This window comes from Homo sapiens, chromosome 3 (genome assembly GCF_000001405.40).
Source record: "Homo sapiens chromosome 3, GRCh38.p14 Primary Assembly".
Taxonomy (NCBI): domain Eukaryota; kingdom Metazoa; phylum Chordata; class Mammalia; order Primates; family Hominidae; genus Homo; species Homo sapiens.
The window spans coordinates 150,787,749-150,808,115 of NC_000003.12; the positions used below are offsets into that span (position 1 = coordinate 150,787,749).

The window sequence follows — 20,367 nt, forward strand, 5'->3', positions numbered from 1 at the left end:
GACAAAGATTGCTGTGTTCTTTGGTGTTTAGGCATCTCTGTTAATTTCTCTGCAGTTTACCTTTCTGAAGATCTTCTTAAAGTCAGAGACCCATTTTCTACTGTGGTAATGTACAAACATTAGTTTTTCTAAGGAAATGCTGCTACCTGTCAGCAAATTAGAATTTTGACAAGCTTATCTGGTGCAGCTGCAGGCGGTGCCACCACTAGGGGTCAGGCGACGTCCTGATAAAGGAAGCGCAGTCACGGGGAGGCGTGAGGCGGCGGAGAAGTGCCTGGCCAACTCACATTTTGGGAGAGAAAATGTGCACCATTCCTGGATGGAGCTGAAATGCAGGCATTCTAAGCTTTGGCACTGAGAGCTTTTTGTTTGTTTTGTTTTGTCTTTTGTGATTTGAATGCTAATTCTCTGAAGAGAGCCAGAGATTTTATGTCTGTCATTTTGCCTACAATTTCTCTTGTCTGTAGATTTTCAAATGTCATTTAATTTCTCCCTTACCAGCCCTGTCTGTCCATTCCTAGTGGATTTAGGGTGTAGAAAATTTCTGTATTCTCTCCGTTTTCAATAACGTTTTTATTCAGATGAATTCTGGATAAAATGAAACAGAGTCAAAGAATGGGAGGTCTGGGGAAGAGAGAGGAGGACACCCCTGGTCCTGTGTGGTCTCAGGAGGAGGTGATGGCAGGGATGGGGAATGAGTCTTTCCTCCTACCCAGATCAAAGAGCTCCGGGCACCTTTGAGCCCAGGTATCAATTCCAATTGGGGACAATATCAGGGCTCTCACCTGAGATATTGCTCCTTTATATTCGTATGCACCCAACGCACATTGCTACTCCATCTCTTTTTCTGCTGAGCCCTGATCAGCCTCGGAATGCTTCTCAACCAAGTGCTTCAGGAAGTCACTATTAGCTTTGCCATCATTCCTGGTTTGGCAATGCCTTGGTGTCAAAGACAAGTTTATGTTGAACTTGGCATCCATTACTCCTGCCTCTGTGGTGGTGATCATCGTTTGCAATTTAGACTTCTCCAGAAGTTTTTTGAAGATCTTCCTTAAAATGGGGTTGAGGTGTTATACAACAGCCAAGCTACAGACTGCTTTCAGGTACTGATTGGTTTCTGGCTAAACTGGTATTCCAGATAACAGTTACGGTGATTTTGCTAGAGATTTAGTCCAAAATATGCCTCCATTTTTCTCATAAGAATAGTGTCTGTACAGAGTAAAAACCTAAATTAGCAACTAAAGTTTACTAAGAAATGAGATGAACAACCTTACTAGCATTCAAAATTGCAAATTAAACAACACAAGATACCATTTTTTCCTTATCAAGTGGCAAAAACTAAAAAGATTAATGACATACAGTGCTAATAGAGGGAAAACAGGCCTTCTCATATACTGAAGGTAGGACTGAAAATTATTACTGCTCTTGGGGAGATAGTATAGTAATATTTATTAAAATTTTTAAAAATATTTTTTGCCCCAAATCTCATTTTGAGGAGTATATTTTTCAGATATGAAAGCTGTAGAACATAGAAATACGTAATTGAGATGATTTTTGCACATTTTTTAGTAGCAAAACAAAACAAAATTGAGATACAACTGAACTGTACTTCAATAGGATATATTTTGGTATAAATGTAATTTGGTATATTCATAATTCCAATTTAAATTAGTGTGTAGGAATGAATTAGATCTATATGAATTGTTCTAGAGGATCACCATAGTAAGTTGAATGAAAAAAAAAAAGAAATTGTGGAGTCTTAAACATAGTATGATTCAGTTTTTGTAAGAACAAAAAATTCAAACTCTTTAGGAATATCTGCTTGCATGCGAGCATGGAGAAAGGTATCGAGGGGATACTCACTAGACGTTCCACCCTTGGAGGGTGGAATAAGAGGAAGTAGGGGTGTGTGTGTGTGTGTGTGTGTGTGTGTGCATATGTGTGTGTTATGTGGTGGAAGTATTATGAATTTTTTCTTTAATGCATCTTAAAAAATGCATGTCAATATTTTTAAAATTTTTTAAAAAAGGACAAGGAAACATGGTCCCCAGAAGGTTAAGGCATTTGACCAAAGTCTTAACAACTAGTTAATGTCCCAGCGGGGCTACAATCCAGGTCTGCTGAGCACTGATTCCTTATGTTCATTCTCGGCACTGCTCACTATTGAAAAAAAAGGTAGCTGGCAAAATTCATTACTGCTTCTTCTATTTGATGTTTTCACACTTCCCTTTCCTTTTCTATTGAGTAGCCAAGCTAGGAGAGCAAGAGTTTTTAGTTGTAGCCAGATCCTCTGTGTTCATCCTTAGGCAGACAATTTCCTTTTGACTGGATAAGTTAATTTCCATGACTGAGTTAGCTATTCAATGGCAATCCCCAGAGTTAAAAGGATCGAGGAGGTGACTGAAGAGTTATAAATTTTCTCATTGTCCAGTCAAGATGTTCTCCTTGATCTGATGAATTTTCAGAAGCCAGCATTTTATTTCATTTCCAGTTTGACATAAAAGTTATTGTGTCCTTGGGGTTATAAGAAATACAATATCACCTGTGACCTTCCTTTTATACAGAAAACTCTCCAGAGACCTCAGGGAATTTACGCAGTTTAATTTGGGCTTTGTTCAGCCCTCTTTTAGCTAACATTAGCCTGTAGGACCTTTTCAACAGTTATTATTTAATCCAGGGAGAGACTGTTACCCATCAAATGGAACACATTGCTGAATCCACTTAGTTTTTTTCTTTTTATTCTTGTGGAAATGCTTTTTTCCTGACTTTCTTGACCTCTATCTAGAGTTTGGAAATATATAACTACAAAGTGTGGATCTGAGCCTGAAGGAACTATGAGGTGGTATGGTAGGCAGAATAACACCCGCCCAAAGCTGTCTAAGTCCTAAGTCTCTGAAATTTGTGAATACATTATCTTACTGGCAAAGGAACTTTGCAGATGTGATTTGGTTAAGGGCTTTGAGATAGGGACAGTATTCATTATTGGTGTGAGTTCAATCTAATCACATGGATCTTTAAAAGAAGAAATCCTTTCCCAGTTGTAGTCAGAAGGAGATGTGATTATGAAAGAATGTTCAGAGTTGCAACATTGCCAGCTCTGAAGATGGAGAAAGAGGCCACAAGCTAAGGAATGCAGAGGGCCTTTAGAAGCTGAGAAAGGAAATAAAACAAATCTTTTCCTAGAGCCTCTAGATGGAACACATCTTGATCATAGCACATGTTGCACTTGGAGAGACAGGGGGAGCCAGATGTGCTTCAGTGAGGGGTCTAGCTCTATTTCCCACTCCTCTTTCAGCTTTCCTCTCCTCCACATGGAGCGTCCTCAAGCTGACTTACCCCTATGGTTGCAAGATGATGGGCAGCAGTGACTGGGGCAATAAGTGTTCTTGTTTACATCCACAGGAAGGAAAAGAAAACCTCTCCTCCACCCATGAAATAAGGCATTCCCTGAAGTCTGATTAGGCCAAATTGGATCATACGCCCATCCCTAGACCAGCCCTGGGAATACCAGCTACTGATGGTTTAAGCCTATGTTCCTAAATCAGTTACTATCAGATGGTAGTGATGGGCTGTTCACATGGAGGAGGGGAAAATTGAAAGAAGAGTGGGAAATAGAGCTAGAACCTTCACCACAGCACATCTGGCTCATCCTGCCTCTCTCAAAGACTTATTAGGTAAAATAATGCAGTTCTATATTATTCAAACCAGTTGACTTGGGTTTTTCTATCACTTTCTGCCAAAAATATTCTACTAGCCATGTGCCCTCCACACACAGAGGCAACCCCTTCCCCTGGGGCTGCTTTGTTCTTTCATGGTACCTGCTTGGCTCCTGCAAGCCTTTCCGCTGATGACTTTCTGAACCTGACTGTATCCGATAAGACACTGCTTTCCTCCTGAGAGCCAGCTTCCAGGCCCAGGGCCAGGAGGCACTGCATGCCCTGTGCCTCTCCTCACTCCTACACCCACAGCTGGCATTGCTAATTGATCCTGGCGCTCCTTTTGCTGGGTTCACATGTGACCTCATGATACTCCACATTACACTCCAGGTAGCCACGACTGGTCAATTGGAGCTGGCACAGGTGATGATCCCTATTTGCCATATGAGTGTAACTACACATCATCTTTTTAAATTTTTCCTTTTTTAGTAGTTGCTTTGCCTGGTCAGTTCGTATTGAGATAATGACCAATTACAACTCTCAGGCCTCTCCTGCTCTCTCCATATTTCCCTAAGTCTGAGCTTGGTATAGCCTGTAGATAGCCAGCCAGAGGTGCCAGGACCTTGATGGCTAGTGTTAAAGCTTTAACCTCCACTACTCTGCCATTTCACTTTAAAATATTCTTTAGGGGTAATTTCCTTACTCTTCGCCTCTTAAATACTATATTTTTATGATGTCATTTACATTTTATAAAGGGAATTTAATTCACTAGAATTCCAGATTGAGGGAGTATTGCATCTTGGAGAAAAGTCACCAGAATAGGAGACATGGGACAGGTCCCAGAGGGAAGACAGTCACTTGTAAGGCTGTATGGCTTTTGGAAGGAGTCAGCGCATGAGCAGTATACCTCGGAGAGGGAGGAGTGGGAAAGCAGCGTGGTGGGCAGGGAACCATGTGGAGAAGAAGGTGATGAAATCTCTGACAGCTGCTCAGAAGCAGGACTCCGGTGAGGACAAACATCCAAGGAGGGCTTTTGGAGAATAGTCCTTCTGTGCATGCACTGTAATTCCCCTGATCTTGCCTTCTCACAAGACCCATTGAAAAGACCTCTGTTTTTTTTCTTATTTTATCTGGAAGCAAACTTGAGTTTCTTCCGGATACAATTCCACACTGTGACTCTAAGGTGGGAGCATGGAGGCCCAATTTTACTTAAGCTATTTTTGTAGCTTCTTTTATGGTATTATCTTTTAAATATATGAGCCCTCTTACTCTGTTTGTGTCTTCATAATCATGACTTGTTTTTAAAATTTTGTGCTACTCACTTTTAGCTCATGTCCACATTTTTCTTAGTTGTCTTAGTCCCTTTGGGCTTCTGTCACAAAGTACCATAGACTAGCTGGCTTATAAATAACAGAAATGTATTTCTTGCCATTCTGGAGGCTGGAAGTCCAAGATCAAGGTGCCAGCAGATTCAGTGTCGATGAGAGCCTGCTTCCTGCTTCATAGATGATAGAAGTGCAAAGCCAGCTGTCTGGGCCTTTTTTATGATACTGATCCCATTCATGAATGCTCTGCCCTCATGATCATTTCAATTCCCAAAGGCCCCACCTCCTAATATTATCACAGTGATAATTGGGTTTTCAACACATGAATTTGAGAGAAACACATTCAGTTCCTAGCATTAGCTTGCTTATATTTATTTCATCTCATTCTCTCTCATAGCTTTTATTTTTGTTTCCCCTGTCCAATTTATTATAGTTTTTTGTCTTTTTATAACTTTTAACCATCTTTTAAATTTCTCTTATTTATTTCTCTTTTTACTGTTGAGTTACAACTCTCGGCTTATTCAGTGGCAAAGCAGGAAGAGATGGCACTGAGGCATCTTGATCCTGAAGGATCTTTTAATTCCTCTTAGCAGTCTTAACATTTTTTCCATCAGCCCCTGCTATAGTTTGAATGTTTGTGTTCTCTTTAAAATCCATGTTGAAACTTGATCTCCAATATGACAGTGGTAAGAGGTAGGGCCTTATATTTGAGAGCACTACAGGGTGAGTACACTCAATAATAATGTATTGTATATTTAAAATAACTAAAATAGTATAATTGAAATGTTCCTAACACAAAGAAATGATAAATGCTTGGGGTGATGGATACCCCAATTACCCTTATGTGATTATTACATATTATATGTCTGTATCAAAACATCACACATACCCCACATAAATGTATGTACTTACTACATACCCATAAAAAAAAAAAAGACGTGGGGCCTTTAGGAGATGATTAAGTCATCAGGGCTCTGCCCTCATGGGATTCATGACCTTGTAAACAAGCTGGAGAGAATGCTAGGCCCCTTTTTTGCCCTCTGCCCTTCTACCATGTGAGGACACAGCATTTGTCGACTCTGAAGGATGCAGCAACAAGGCACCATCTTGTGGCAGAGACCAGGGCCGTACATTAGAGCAGTCCAGGTGAACTGCTATAACATTAAACCTTCGATCTGAGAATTCAGGAAACTCACTAACTCTTCCCTAATGCTGATCATGAAGACTGGTGTAAATAAATGTATGTCAAATTCTGGAATGGGGTTTCCTTCTTAGTTCAAACACTCTACTATCACTTTTTGTGGAATTAACTTAGGTATTTGGAAGAAGGTTGCAGTCACAGGTAGGAAATCAAGTCATAAGTAAGGAAACAAAAGGCAGAAGCTGAGCTGTGGAACTGGCCAGCTCACTGGAAGAAGAAAACAGCTAGGAGGTTACCCCTGGGCACAGGGCAAATCCTGGTGATACTGGACATTAGCTTTATGCCCCTGTGACCAACAGGCCCCATATGACAATGTTCCTGGAGCTGCTGGCTATTTCTGCTCAGACAAGGATTAGTTCAGGGGCTGGGCTGAGTTTAGCCACCACAGGGAAGGACACTTGCCCCCTGATCCCCACTAAGAGAGGGGAACACTTCCAGCAGGATTCTGCTTTGCCCTTTTCTGCCTTGTCATGGGCAGTGAGTACCTGATGTGTGACAAGAAGGGAATACAATATGGCTGCTTACAAGTAAGATTTTTGTAAATAGGAGGAATGCCTGCATTTATAAAGCTGACCTCTTACAGAGATTTAATAGAATTCAAAATAGGAAAAAATATCATTCCTTGAGAATGTACTATTTTTGTTAAAAAAAAAACTTTAAAAAGATTTTTCTTCTCTCTGAAGTCTTGACTAATATTAATTGGCACCTTCTAACTTGGTCAGCCAACAGCTGCTCTCCTTCTTCCCACTCTGGATAACAGGCATTTCACTGCCTTTTACATTTTAATCTTGGGAAGACGGATATAGGCCAAATGATTCTTCTTCAGCCTTTGATGCCAAGTATTTATTTAAAATATGAGGTCATCAAGATTAAATGCAAAACCTTACTGTACTTCTTTACCTCCATAAGGATGGCTAAATTTAAGTGGCTTTGTGCTTGGAGCCACTAACAATGAAACTCGCAGGGACTTATTCCCTCTGTCCTTGTCTTTAAGAGATTGGCAATATATTGTAAATACCTGTGTCACTATGAACTAACGAGAATGAAATTCTGGAACCACTGCAGGGTGGCTGGCTGTTTCCCCCACCACCATCAGATTCCTGTCCCAGGGATTCACCCAGTCCTCCCTTAAAGTCAGTTGGCCTTTTTCTGTTATCACTGTTGTGAGGTTCATGGAACTAGGAAGATGAATTTAATGCAGTGGCTCTTGATCATTTAGGAGGTAATGCACATTCTGAGGATTTGATGAAAACTAGATTTTCCTCCAGGAAAATTTACAAAACGTACAAACATTTCAAATGCTGTATACAGTTTCAGGCTTTTTCCAATCCTTGAAGCCCATCCCATGACCTCAGATTAAAAATAATCAATAAAGGAAGATACTATTGGCATAATGTTAATTTTCATAGGTATTGTATCAATCACGTTTTAATCAGAGAAACAGAACAAGTAGGAGAATAAGGAAATATATTACAAGGAATTGGTATATGTGATTATGGGGGCTGGCTAGGCAAGTGTGAAATCCACAGGGCTGGCTGTCATGAAGGGTAGGCTGGAACTCTTGGGCACAGGGTGAAGCTGCTGTCTACAGGTGGAATTTCTTGTTCTTTCAGGAAGTCTTAGCTCTGTTCTTATGCCTTTCAACTGAGTGAATCGGGCCCACTCAGATTATCTGGGATAGATTATCTAGGATAATCTCCCTTAAAATCTAGTGACTATGGACTTAAATTACCCCTACAGATTAGACGTGATTAAAGTCCACCTAAATTAGTGTTTGAATAACAGGACCGTGGTGTAGCCAAGCTGACACACAAAACTGACATTCACAAGTATAGTGGTATTATGCTTATGTAAAAATTATTTTTGTTCTTAGAAGATAAATATTGAAGGTAAAGTGTTATAACGTCTGCAATTTATGCTCACTGAGTTTACCAACGTACATATGGTGAGAGCAAACATGGCAAAATGTTAGTAACTGCAACACAGATGGAGGTATCTGAGGTTTCCCTGTATTATTCTTTCAATTTTTCTGTATGCTTGAAGGTTTTCATAGTAAAATTTGTGAACTAAAGTAGCCCCAGTCTCCTGCCTGACACAGCGTCTGTTAGCTCATAGCATACATTCAGTAAGCGTTTCATGAATTAAACAGAATAAGGGGCAGCATTTCACTCACAACCAAAGAGCTCAGCAGGATAATATTGTCACAGTTGTAACAATAAGAGATCTCCAGCTGCCTGTCCTCTATACTTGTTCAAATAATTCCATTGATAAATAAGAATAGTAAGGCATTTTTATTTATTTTTTTTATGTATTTTGAGATGAAGTCTCGCTCTGTCACCCAGGCTGGAGTGCAGTGGCGTCATCTCGGGACACTCCAACCTCCACCTCCCAGGTTCAAGCAATTCTTGTGCCTCAGCCTCCCAAGTAGCTGGGATTAGAGGGGTGTGCAACCAAGCCCAGCTAATTTCTGTATTTCTAGTAGAGATGGGGTTTTGTCATGTTGCCCAGTCTGATCTCGAACTCCTGACCTCAAGTGATCCACCTGCCTCGGCCTCCCAAAGTGCTGGGATTACAGGCATGCACCCCCGTGCCTGGCCAGGAAGGCATTTTTAAATATTATTTTTAAATATTCTTTTTCTTCTTCTTCTTCTTCTTCTTCTTCCTCTTCCTCTTCTTCTTTCTTCTTCTTCTTCCTCTTCTTCTGTTCTTCTTCTTCCTCTTCTTCCTCTTCCTCCTCTTCCTCTTATTCCTCTTCCTCTTCTTCCTCTTCTTCCTCTTCCTCCTCTTCTTCCTCTTCCTCTTCCTCTCCGTCTCCTTCTCCTCCTCCTTCTCCTTCTCCTCCTTCTCCTTCTTCTTCTTCTTCTTCCTCTTCTTCTCTTTTCTCTTCTCTTCTGTTTTTTCTTCTCCTTCTTCTCCTTCTCCTCCTCCTCCTCCTCTTCCTCCTCCTCCTCCTTCTTCTTCTTCTCGCTCTGTCACAACAGCTGGAGTGGAGTGGAGTGGTGCAATCTTGGCTCACTGCAACCTCTGGCTCCCAGGTTCAAACGATTCTTCTGCCTCAGCCTTCGGAGTAGCTGCGACTACAGGCATGGGCCACCACGCCCCGCTGATTTTTGTATTTGTAGTAGAAACAGGGTTTCACTGTGTTGGTCAGGCTGGTCTCGAACTTCTGACCTCAAGTGATCCACTGTTCTCAGCCTCCCAAACTGCTGGGATCACAGGCATGAGCCATAGTGCCCAGACATTTCTTTATTTAATAGGAGATGAGGGCTCCCTATGTTGACCAGGCTGGTCTTGAACTCCCGGCCTCAAGCATCACTCTCTCCTTGCCCTGGCCTCCCAAAGTGTTAAGATTACAAGTGTGAGCCACCATGCCCCAGCCACTTAAGACATTTCTTAAGGTTAGGGGAGGCTGCATGATGTAGGAATTGCTGTCTTAGGTGTCAGAATTTCCGTGTTTGAGTCATGAGTGCATGTAAGCTCTGTGACTGGGCAAATTGCTTACCTACTCTGAACCTATTTCCTCACCTAAAAATGGGATAATTATGCCTGCTTTATAACTTACAAGGTTTTTCTGAGGAAGAAATTTGACAATTACTGTGGAAATGCACTGTAAACAGCAGAGTAGTTCTACCACTTACAACTGCATGTCAGAACCTAAGACCCATACTTTTTCACATTTAATGCCTCTGACTTGGGAGTTGTCTTGCACTTGATAGTACATCACAGTTTAATCAGCAGCATGTTTTTCTTTTTTAATGGTATATGAAATAATGGTGGCATCTTAGATTTGATGAAATACTGTGGCTGAGTGGTCTTAGGCAAATGACCTAAACCCTTTAAATCTCAGCTTTTTCCTCATTGAGTTAGGAATAAAAATACTTTATACAATTGCGATGAAGATTTAAAAATATCAAGTATGCAAAGCACTTAATAAATGCTCAATAAATACTAGTATGCCATTGCATTATTGCACAAATGAAAGTTATTATTAGTGTAGAATTTGTGCGGTCTCTACAGGTCCTGCTCACACAATCCACCTTTGCCACCCTATTCTTGAAGAAGAAAATAGAGCCTTAGCAGATTTGCTTTGGAAAAACTGACCCCAAATTAAAACTGCATGATTGCTTGGAGTGTTAAGGCTAAAGAAATAGACCAGAATACAAGGTGTCAGAGTGGTAAACTTTTAAAAACTGTTGTTCCTACCACCTGGATGCTGACATTATTTTCACAGCAACCCTCCTGGGGACTCCCTTAGACTCTTTTAGATTAGGACCTCAGGTTGCACAATCTCTGTGAACATGGAGAACTTTTTGAGAATGTTGAGGCGGCAGCCTGAAAGCAAGCAGGAGATTGTTTGCTTTGGGCGAGCTGCACCTCAGGCTTCCCTCAATAAACTTCCCAGCAATTTCTCCCACACTGTGGTAACTAGACTCTGAGGCTCTGGTTTCCAGGAATTGGGGGTGGTAAACACATTACCCACAGTAAAGGCTTTTATTTTTGTTGACCTGCAGTGTGAGGATTTAATTTGCATGCTTTCCCCTGTGAAGGGAAGTGTGTGAATACTGCCAGTCGCTGCAGCTTGTGGTTAGTCCTTTCAACTGAAAGGGCACAAATCAAATCGCTCTGGATTTACCTTCTGAGCCTGTGCCCCTGCACAGTGTGGGGAGCATGGGGGAGGGAGGAAAAGCATCCAGCAGGAAGCAGTGCTTGGAAGGCATCCTGTCCCAGGATGATGTCAAGAACCACTGATTTGTCTGTAGTAGTGGAATCTTCTTTACATTAATAACAATCTGGGGAGAAGTCCACGGGACCCTTGAAAATGGGTCTAGGATGCCAGCTTTTCTTTTCTTTATTATTATTTTTTAATTAGTCCTTTTCTGATTTTCTTAGCCACTTCCCTTTCTACTGTCCTGTCCCCACATCCCCTTTGCTATTTCCTCTCTTATTAAGTAAATATTTGATATTTAGATTATTTTTATGTCTTTTATTTGTTCCCCTTCTAACACTATCTCTAAGTTTTATTTTAAAAAATCTTTTCAAACTTTTTATTTGGAAATAATTTTACTTATAACAACGTTGCAAAAAACAGTACAGAGAATTTTCATAGACCCTTTACACAAATATTGCAAATAGTAACATCTTACATAACCAAATTTTTTAAAAGATGAAAAACATTGATAGGTAATGCGTTCCATCTGGCTACAAATGAAAACAATGTAGGGTATTTGTTGAGAGCTTTTATTCCTATACCTGTCCTCATTCGTCCTGTCTTCACCGTCTTCCTCCTTTTTTACTGGCAACTATAAGAGTTGCTTTTGTGATCTTTCAGTGTTTTATGGGTAAATATTAGCAAATAAGCACCTTTTCCCTTTCTTACAGAAATGGCAACATTATGTATACTGTTCTACAACTTATTTTTCTCACCTAACATTACGTCCTAGAGGTGTTTCCATGTCAGTATGTAGCATCCCCATGCCTTTTATCAGCTAAGTAATTTTCCATTATGTGGATGTACTTCTATTTTATTTTACTTATTTATTTATTTTTGAGATGGAGTCCTGCTCTGTCACCCAGGCTGGAGTGCAGTGGCACGATCTCAACTCACTGCAACCTCCACCTCCTGGGTTCAAGTGAGTCTCCTGCCTCAGCCTCCCAAGTAGCTGGGATTACAGGCATGTACCACCATGCCTTGCTAATTTTTGTATGTTTAGTAGAGATGGGGTTTCACCATGTTGGCCAGGCTGGTCTTGAATGCCTGACCTCAGGTGGTCCACCCGCCTCAGCCTCCCACAGTGCTGGGATTATAGGTGTAAGCCACCGTGCCCAGCCACCTCTATTTAACCACTTCCCTATTGATTGATGCTGCTGTTTGGCAGGGTTTTTTTCTTTATTACTTGCAGTTGAATGCATCCTAAGTGATAACACCACTCGGCAAAGGGCAGAGAGTGAGTGGGGAGCCCTGGGAGGCCCCTTTAGTAATACAATGAATTTCACCAAGCATACGCATTGAATAGCTTTCAGTGATCTTGGTTCTAATTGTCGGATTTAACTGTTGTGGATTGGAAGTCAGATGAAGGCAAGGTACTGGATGCATGAAAAAAAGGGGGTAGACTTTATTGTTGATTCATTAGAATTGGATTACAAAGAAATGAGTTAATATTTTCTCATAATGAAGAGTCTTAAATTCCTATGAAAGGTACCCAGATATGGAGTGAGAGGAGTTGGATCTAACCCTGTGGAATAACCGATTTCTCAGGAAAAACGTATTGCCCCCTACTGCTTCCAGATTGGAGTAACAGAATACTGAGTGGGGCTTTTCCTTGGCCTAGGAATTGGTGTCCAGGACCCAAAGCTGAAGACAAAGGAGTCTTATATTCCTCACGTTCTACAGTGAAAGATGCCGAGGAGCCTCTAAAAATTGAGACCAGTCACCTTCCTCTGGGCCTAGTAAAATGTGGATTGGCTTAGCCAATCCCAGCCGCCACCCCCATACTCTTCCCCATCTGTATAGGCCAAAGGTAGCTTGCAGAAGGGATGGGGATGGGGGCGGCCATGGGGGGTCAGCAGAGAAAGCAGTTTTGGAGTTGTGAGCCATCAGCTGATGGGGGTGAGAGTGCTGTAGCTCTTCCTACCCAACTCCAAAGTTAAGGGAAGGGATTCCGGTGGGGTCACATGGCCTTCTCCTAACTTTGACCCTCTTTCTTCCCTCTCTTAATGACCTGTGTGTTTACACTGGGCCTACCCAGATAATCTCCCAATCTCAAAATCCTTAATTTAACACATCTGTAAAATCTTTTTTTACCATGTAAAGTAACATATTCACAGGTTTCAGAGATTAGGACCTGGGCATCTTGAGGGGCCATTGTTCAGCCCATTGCAGTCATATTTCCCTGATTGGACATGGACTTGGGCAATTGACTTGTTGAACTGCCCTCCACCTACATGAGCAGGGCAGGGAGAACTGGAGAGAGATGATGGAACTGAGAGGGGATGGTGGTGGAGCAGACACCACTGATTGGTGATATACGGATGTGAGAGTTCCTAGAAGGTTCAGAGAGCTGCCCACTAGGTGAGGGGGACCCCAGAAGCAAGAGGCTCTGGGCAGGACTGCTAAGGATAGGAGCTGGGGGCTGGACTAGGTCGCCAGGTGCCAGATCTCCCAAGTCAGGAATAGGAGAGAGAGCAGAACACCACTTTTCCCTGTGTCAAGCCCCACAGTCATAGCCTGGCTGGATCTACCTCACACAGTTGTCACCAAAGTATTAAATTATGAGAAAAGCTTAATACAGTGGTGAGCAGTAAGAGCTCAGAAAGTGTCAATTGACATTGTTACTTTTTGCTTGGCTACACCTAAGCAAACATTTTTTGAAAACTGTGTACCTACTGAACACCTTTCAGTTGACATCTAAAATTTTTGTTACAGATTTATATAGTATAATAGTAAAGGATGTAATTTCTGGCATGTAGTAGTTATTAACATTTTAAATTAAAACTGCTATACTGGGACCAGTGCAGTGGCTCATGCCTGTAATCCCAGCATTTTGGAATGCTGAGGTGGGTGGACTGCATGAGTCCAGGAGTTCAAGACCATGTGGGCAACATGGTGAAACCCCATCTCTATAAAAAATAAAAACAAACAAATGAAAAACACCTGATATATTGATCTTTTAAATATATCCAATAGAATGTAAATACCACAATGATTTTATGCTAGCTATCCTTATTTTAAAAGCACATGAAGAAGTTTTTCTTTAATATAAATGCCCTTCTATAATATTCAAACTAGGACATTTATTTACTTTTTCTCCTTGAACTCATATTTTCATTCCACTACCCCACAGAATTTTATTCTAACTTAATACATTTTTAGGCTTGGAAGTCTTTTGATTGTCCTATTGTATTTTCTGCAACAAATGTATGTGTGTAAATAAAAGTTTTAGTTTTATTTCCTGTGACCATAAGGCTCTGTTAAAATCATAATTTAGATAGGTTTTGTGTACAACTGATCAAAATAACAAATATACTACAAATCTTGATAAACACGTACTAAAACATTAACCTTGTACTGGAAATAAATTTTTAGTAATATAATTTTTTTAACCCATTTAGTTATCTGGGTGAATATTATTTATAGAATGAGACAAGGCTGAACAATTACTTTCCCATTTTTATTTTTGTTGATATAAGAAACAAGCATATTTACTCACATATAGAAGTAGATGGAAGTGGAAGGAGTTTTGCCACAGTGATGGTACTCAACTCTTTGAACTCTACACATTTCAAGGGATATTATAAAAAACACTGGGAAATAAACTGCAAGCCAGATTACAAAAGCAGCAATGTTATTATTTAAATTACCTGGACCTGTTAGAATTGGTTTATCTACTCCACCTGGTAAGGAACCTGGATTAGCTGAGGCATGTGCTGAGGGCAACTCAGCTATGAAAGGTGAGAACTATAAGCACATGCCCAGTTGCAAAATATTAACAGAATATGTTTGAGTTTTTTCCTCCCTTATTATCCTTTTGTCATCGAACACAAAATGTGTTCAAAGTATTTAATTTCTTAGTACTTAAGTTACAGGATAGCAAAGGGGAAGTGTGAATCTGCCATGAGAAAAAGGAACATTACCCAAGAAAAACAAAAAGATTTTGCATCCACTCCTGGATTTGTGTGTTTTGGTTGTGTGTCAGGTATGTAGGCAAACTATGGCTTTGCTTTTGTCTTTCTTTGGAGATGTATGGCTTAAGGACACGAGTATGGTGCCATGCTGGACCCCTATTAGCTTCAACAGAGATGACACCATGTTCAAGAGGCTCATGAAGAGACCCGGAGGCAGCAAATGAGACATAGGGCTTTATTAGTGGGGAAACGTACATATAGAGCAAACCAGTGGTGACAGGATGGGCAAGAGAACTGCAGCCGCTTGTAGAAAGCATGTAGCTTATATAGCATTTTCACTTAGCACTCCCCCCAACAATCTCCACCTGGCAACCTTACTGTTAACCCAAAAGAAAAGGCCTTGATTCTCCCATACAGCAGGTGTTCCACAGGACCATCCAGGGGCTCAGGTGTTTCTTATAGATAAGAATGAAGCTCCTGGTTGGCCATTCCTGAATTCCTTAGCTCAGAATTCTGAACAAATATTCAGATGCACCTATCATACAGGGTCATTCTCAGGGTCTATGCTGTCAAGTGCACTGAAAAGGTTTGGCTCTGTGTCCCCACCCAAATCTCATGTCGAATTGTAATCCCCATATGTTGAAGGACGGTCCTTATGGGAAGTGATTGGATTATGGGAGTGGCCTTCCCCCTTGCTGTTCTCACGATAGAGTTCTCATGAGATCTGATGGTTTAAAAGTGTGGCGCTTCCCGCCTTGTGAAGAAAGGGCTTGCTTCTCCTTTGCCTTCCACCGTGATTGTAAGTTTCCTGAGGCCTCCCAGCCATGTGGAACTGTGAGTCAATTAAATCTCTTTTCTTTGTAAATTACCCAGTTTCAAGTAGTTCTTTTTAGCAGTGTGAAAATGAACTAATATATGCATCTACCATACATATGGGTGCCAAGTTGACAAGAGGTAGACTGCCGTGGCTTCGATATATGTCAAATCGGCTAGGCTGAAATACAGTGCCTAGACTTCCCTTTCCTATGTTTCTGTTCATGTGCACCACAAGAGAGAGTCTTGGGGGATTTGGAGGCTGAAAATGAAGCAGCAGCCATTTTGTAGTTCACGTGCGTTGTCATTTACCTGCCAGCTCACCTCGTGGTGAGAGGCAGCAGCTGGATCTGCAATTGCAGCACCTTTCCCTGGATCCTTCTTTAGTTTTTCTGACTCCTAGGCATGTATGTGTGTTTAGCTACACGACAAAGGAACCTGGCTTCTCCAGGACACCCATACCATTACGGTCAGAGGCAGCAGGAACTGACACAGGTTTTAGCTGGCTTTGTGAGCTGCGGATGTGCTTGTGGGTTCCAGCTTGTTCTTGCTGTCCCTCACTTTCCACCTGCCTTTCCCTCTTGATTGCCTCTCCAGCATCAGACTGGAAGAGAAGAGCCTCACAGAAACTGTTAATCAGCTCCCATAATTGTAGGAGGTCCAATTCCTGTAACAAATCACATCTTAGTGGTTCTGTTTCTTTGATAGAATCCTAATACAGTAAATTATAAAAACAAATTTAATATGCTATTTTAAAAATTTATAATAATACAGTGCAATTTGTAGCTCACATTGTAAGCTATTTTACTGTGGAAACTACTTGTTTGATAAAGGCCTGGTACTCCTATAATTAAATGTGGGAGCACACAGAAACCCTGGTATTCTGTCTTGAAGAGTAATTATATTTGAATTTAGCATAATAATTCGAAATAATTTTATTTCTTTGGACATTCTAATCAAACCTTTTCAATTTAATAAAAGAGAAAGGTAAATATGGCTAAAAACTAATTGCTACAATAGCATGTAATTTTTTTATTAAAATAAAATATCAAACATTTTAAGATGAAGTAAATGATTTTACTTTAATTAAAATCTTTCATAATAAGATCTGTTTTAACAAAACTCTTAACTATTAAATCTGAGAATACATTATGCATAAGTTAATTTCAGCGTGTCTTAAAAATCTGATTGATCGGGAAAATATTCTTATGTTTAAAAGAATTAGCATCACTAACTTCTACCTTGGTTGCTCAAGTTTGCTTTTCTTTCCAGCTAATGACAAATTCTAGGGATGAGTATTGAGAATGGCAGGAAATATTTGCTGGTGTTTAAATATAGGGAAAAAATTATTTTTAGCTTTCAGAATTTCTGATTGATGTTCTCTGCTTTGCTATTGCAAAATTCTCCCCTGAATAATTCACCCTTTGAAAATAAACAGGTTGATTTTAAAAATGGACAAGACATACAAACGAAGAATTCACAGAAAAAGAATTGCAAATAGCTTACACTAATAAATAAAATGCTTAGTTTAATTCAAAACGTGAGAAATGCAAGGCAAAATTACACTGAGAGAAGCTGAACTCACAGAGGTGAGAGGGAAAGACCTGGGGTTTGCTATGGGTTAGTAGATAATGGAGACTGATTATACATGAGATTTGGAGCTGGGGATTCAGGAGAGAGGGGCACAATGGCCTCAAAGTGGCAAAGATGAATGAAAAGGACACCTCCTCCAAGCGTTAGTGATGAGGGAGACAAAACAGCCCCCTAAGATGGCTAAAAACAAAACTCAAGACAGGAAAAAAATAATAAAAACTACTCTGCTGAGGTGTAAAACTAGCAAAAATTCAAAAGTTAGATCACTGTTGACAAGACTGGGGAAATTGAAGCTCTCTTACATTGCTGGTGGGAAGGCAAAATGGTAGAATGCCTATGGAGGAGATTTGACAAAGATCTAGTGATATTACTTATATATTTACCTATCGTCTGCTCTGAAGCAGAGGATGGCAGTTTGTGCCATGTACAGAGATGCCAGAGTGCAGGACGGAGCAGAAAGTCAGTCTGGCAAGGAAGGGGCCTTATGAAACTCATCTGTAATTTGCATAATTTTCTGTAATTTGCATAGAGGCTCCATATGTGCTAGTCCCAGGTTGTACATGCCTACCATTCTTCTCCCAGTTCATCACCTTCCCAGTAGCAGGGCTTTGGGGATCTGCTGACAGGAACCCAGAGTCATCTGTAGCTGTGGGCCCCAGGGGCTTTGTGATGATTGTGGAAGTGGGAAGTCTTTCCCATACGGTCTATTCAGTCATGTTCAGAGGGCAGCAAATCTTGGAGACTCAGGAAACACAGAATGTAATAATCTCCATCTTATTCTCCCTTTTCTCCTTTATAAACTCTTAAGCACTCACTGCAAACTTAGATGCTCTCAGCAACTTGGAAATTATGCCTGAGTCCGTTTAACAATTTAGATATACAACCTTACTACAGAAATATTTTTAGAAATATTTTCCTGACTGTAAAAATGATACATGTTCATTTTTTAAAGACTTCAAATTTTTGTGAATTAAAAAAACCGATTCTACCACTCAGAATGAGTATCATTAACATTCTGGTGTTATCTACCTATCTCCTTTGTATGCATCAATATCTACATAGCTATATTTGAAAATATTGGGCACAATCTGTATTGACAATTGTACATCTTGCTTTTGTTAAATCTTTGAAAACTTTTTTTTGTTTTTGATGGTTAAGAGTGCTACTCAACTAAAGTTATTACAATAATAGGAAAGGTTCTGTGCTAGGCTTTGGACATACAGTGTGAGTGTGTGTATGCATGGTTATACTCTTCAGCTTGTTCCTAGAAGTAAAGAAACAATAAGTATTTTCTCTGCCCTCTCAGACTTTCCCAATCTAGTAAAAGAGATAATGCACGTATGTAATTAACTTCAATACAGAGGCAGTATTGTATAATAAATCATGAATTCCTCAGAGATAACTGTGAGATGGGATGAATTTACATATGCATATTTTGGGCGTTTTTTCTGTTCTAGTTGTTGACACTGAACAATAATCTTGAAGCTTCCTCCAGTCTGCAAATAAACAATTTCTGCTTTTCAAATGCAGAAATCATTGAAAGGTTTGGTAAGCTCATGACAAAGGGGTGTTGGAATCAACAGAATTTGTCTCATTTTCATTGTTCCTCACCTCTGAAAGGCTAATCTTCTAATGGTCTCTTTTGTCAGAAGCAATTAGCATCCTGGGTAGCTAGGCTACCTGTCTCTGGAATGTTTCAAGGATGAGGAATAGATGAGATGTTCAAAGAGAGAGAAGAGGCTTTGCTCCTCCATTTTGATGTGCCATGGGAAAACACTAATTTAGAATAATTAGAGCTAAGTAACGGAGAAGCCATAATGGGACGTTAGCCATGCCTGTGACACAACAGGAGGTTGCCCCGATAATAAGCAGACAAGACCCAGTCTCCAGGAATTCAGAGTCTTAACTGTGAATTCCCATATGAAAAGTTAGACTTTCAGATACGAGGGGACTAGGAGATTGGAGGTGGACCTACAATAGGTGAATGTACCCTCTTCAGAGACAGAATTCTAAGGTTGTGTGTGTCTCCTGGTGTGTTTCATGTAATTTTCTTCTGTGCCTGATTGTTATTTTTTAAATGTATAATCCAAAGAGAATTTGGGGCACATACACTCATTTTTATTGAATGCCCAAATAGTAAGAAGGCTCCTTGCCATTCAGCATCATGTTGTTTTGGCTACATTTTAAAAATAGATAACACTGTTATTCTACTAGACTGAGCATTAAGGCCTCTTTCTTTTAGGGTCCTTGCTATGCCGGAAGGTTGGTGTCTCTCCAAAATTCATATTTGAAACTTAACCCTCAAGGTGATAATATTAAGAGATGGGGCCTTTGGGAAATGATTAGGTCATGAGGACTCTGCCCTCATGAATGGGATTCATGCTCTTACAGAAGGCTTGAGGGAATGAGTTCATCCCATTTTTTGTCTTTTTGCCACTTGAGGACACAGAGTTAATGCCTTTCTTCTATGTGAGGACATGGGGAGATTGTGGATTTATTATTTTTTATTTAGTTATTTATTTTAGATGGAGTTTTGCTCTCGTCGCCCAGGCTGGAGTGCAATGGTGTGATCTCAGCTCACTGCAACCTCCGCCTCCTGGGTTCAAGCGATTCTCCTGCCTCAGCCTACCAAGTAGCTGGGATTACAGGCATCCGCCACCACGCCTGGCCAATTTTTGTATTTTTAGTAGAGACAGGGTTTCACCACAGTGGCCAGGATGGTCTCGAACTCCTGACCTCAGGTGATCCACCGGCCTTGGCCTCCCAAAATCCTGGGATTACAGGCTAAAAGCAGAAAGTGAAACTTTACCAAACACTGAATCTGCTGTCACTTTGATCTTGGACTTTCTGGCCTCCAGAGTTGTGAGAAATAAGTTTCTATTTATAAATTACCTAGTCTAAGTTATTTTGTTATAGCAGGAGAAGAGACTGAGACAGTCCTGTAAAGGAATTTTACACTGAGTGAGTGAGACCTCTGCTCCCACGGCTTCAGCCAGTGATGTCAGACCCAAAGATTCCTCAAGGCCCAGGCTGCCATGGAGTGGGAGAGGAGTCCTGCTTAGTGCTGGGACTTCTCTACATGAGACAGGGATTTGGTTCAGCGTGCTTATTGTGTACCCAAGCATCTGCCAGTAGATGTGGGTGGAAGGCTGTTTCT

At 40.6% G+C, this 20,367-nt stretch overlaps 3 annotated features.

Annotated features, from left to right (window-relative positions):
* Positions 256-315: a silencer, noted in NCBI's record as "silent region_14819". NCBI's record gives its function as "represses an Ori minimal core promoter by ATAC-STARR-seq in GM12878 lymphoblastoid cells {active_cell/tissue: GM12878}" and the evidence as "EXISTENCE:reporter gene assay evidence [ECO:0000049][PMID:35858748]".
* Positions 18,309-18,831: an enhancer, noted in NCBI's record as "OCT4-NANOG-H3K27ac hESC enhancer chr3:150523844-150524366 (GRCh37/hg19 assembly coordinates)". NCBI's record gives its function as "activates a minimal SCP1, AML or CMV promoter by ChIP-STARR-seq in primed H9 embryonic stem cells {active_cell/tissue: H9 hESC(primed)}" and the evidence as "EXISTENCE:reporter gene assay evidence [ECO:0000049][PMID:30033119]".
* Positions 18,832-19,353: an enhancer, noted in NCBI's record as "OCT4-NANOG-H3K27ac hESC enhancer chr3:150524367-150524888 (GRCh37/hg19 assembly coordinates)". NCBI's record gives its function as "activates a minimal SCP1, AML or CMV promoter by ChIP-STARR-seq in primed H9 embryonic stem cells {active_cell/tissue: H9 hESC(primed)}" and the evidence as "EXISTENCE:reporter gene assay evidence [ECO:0000049][PMID:30033119]".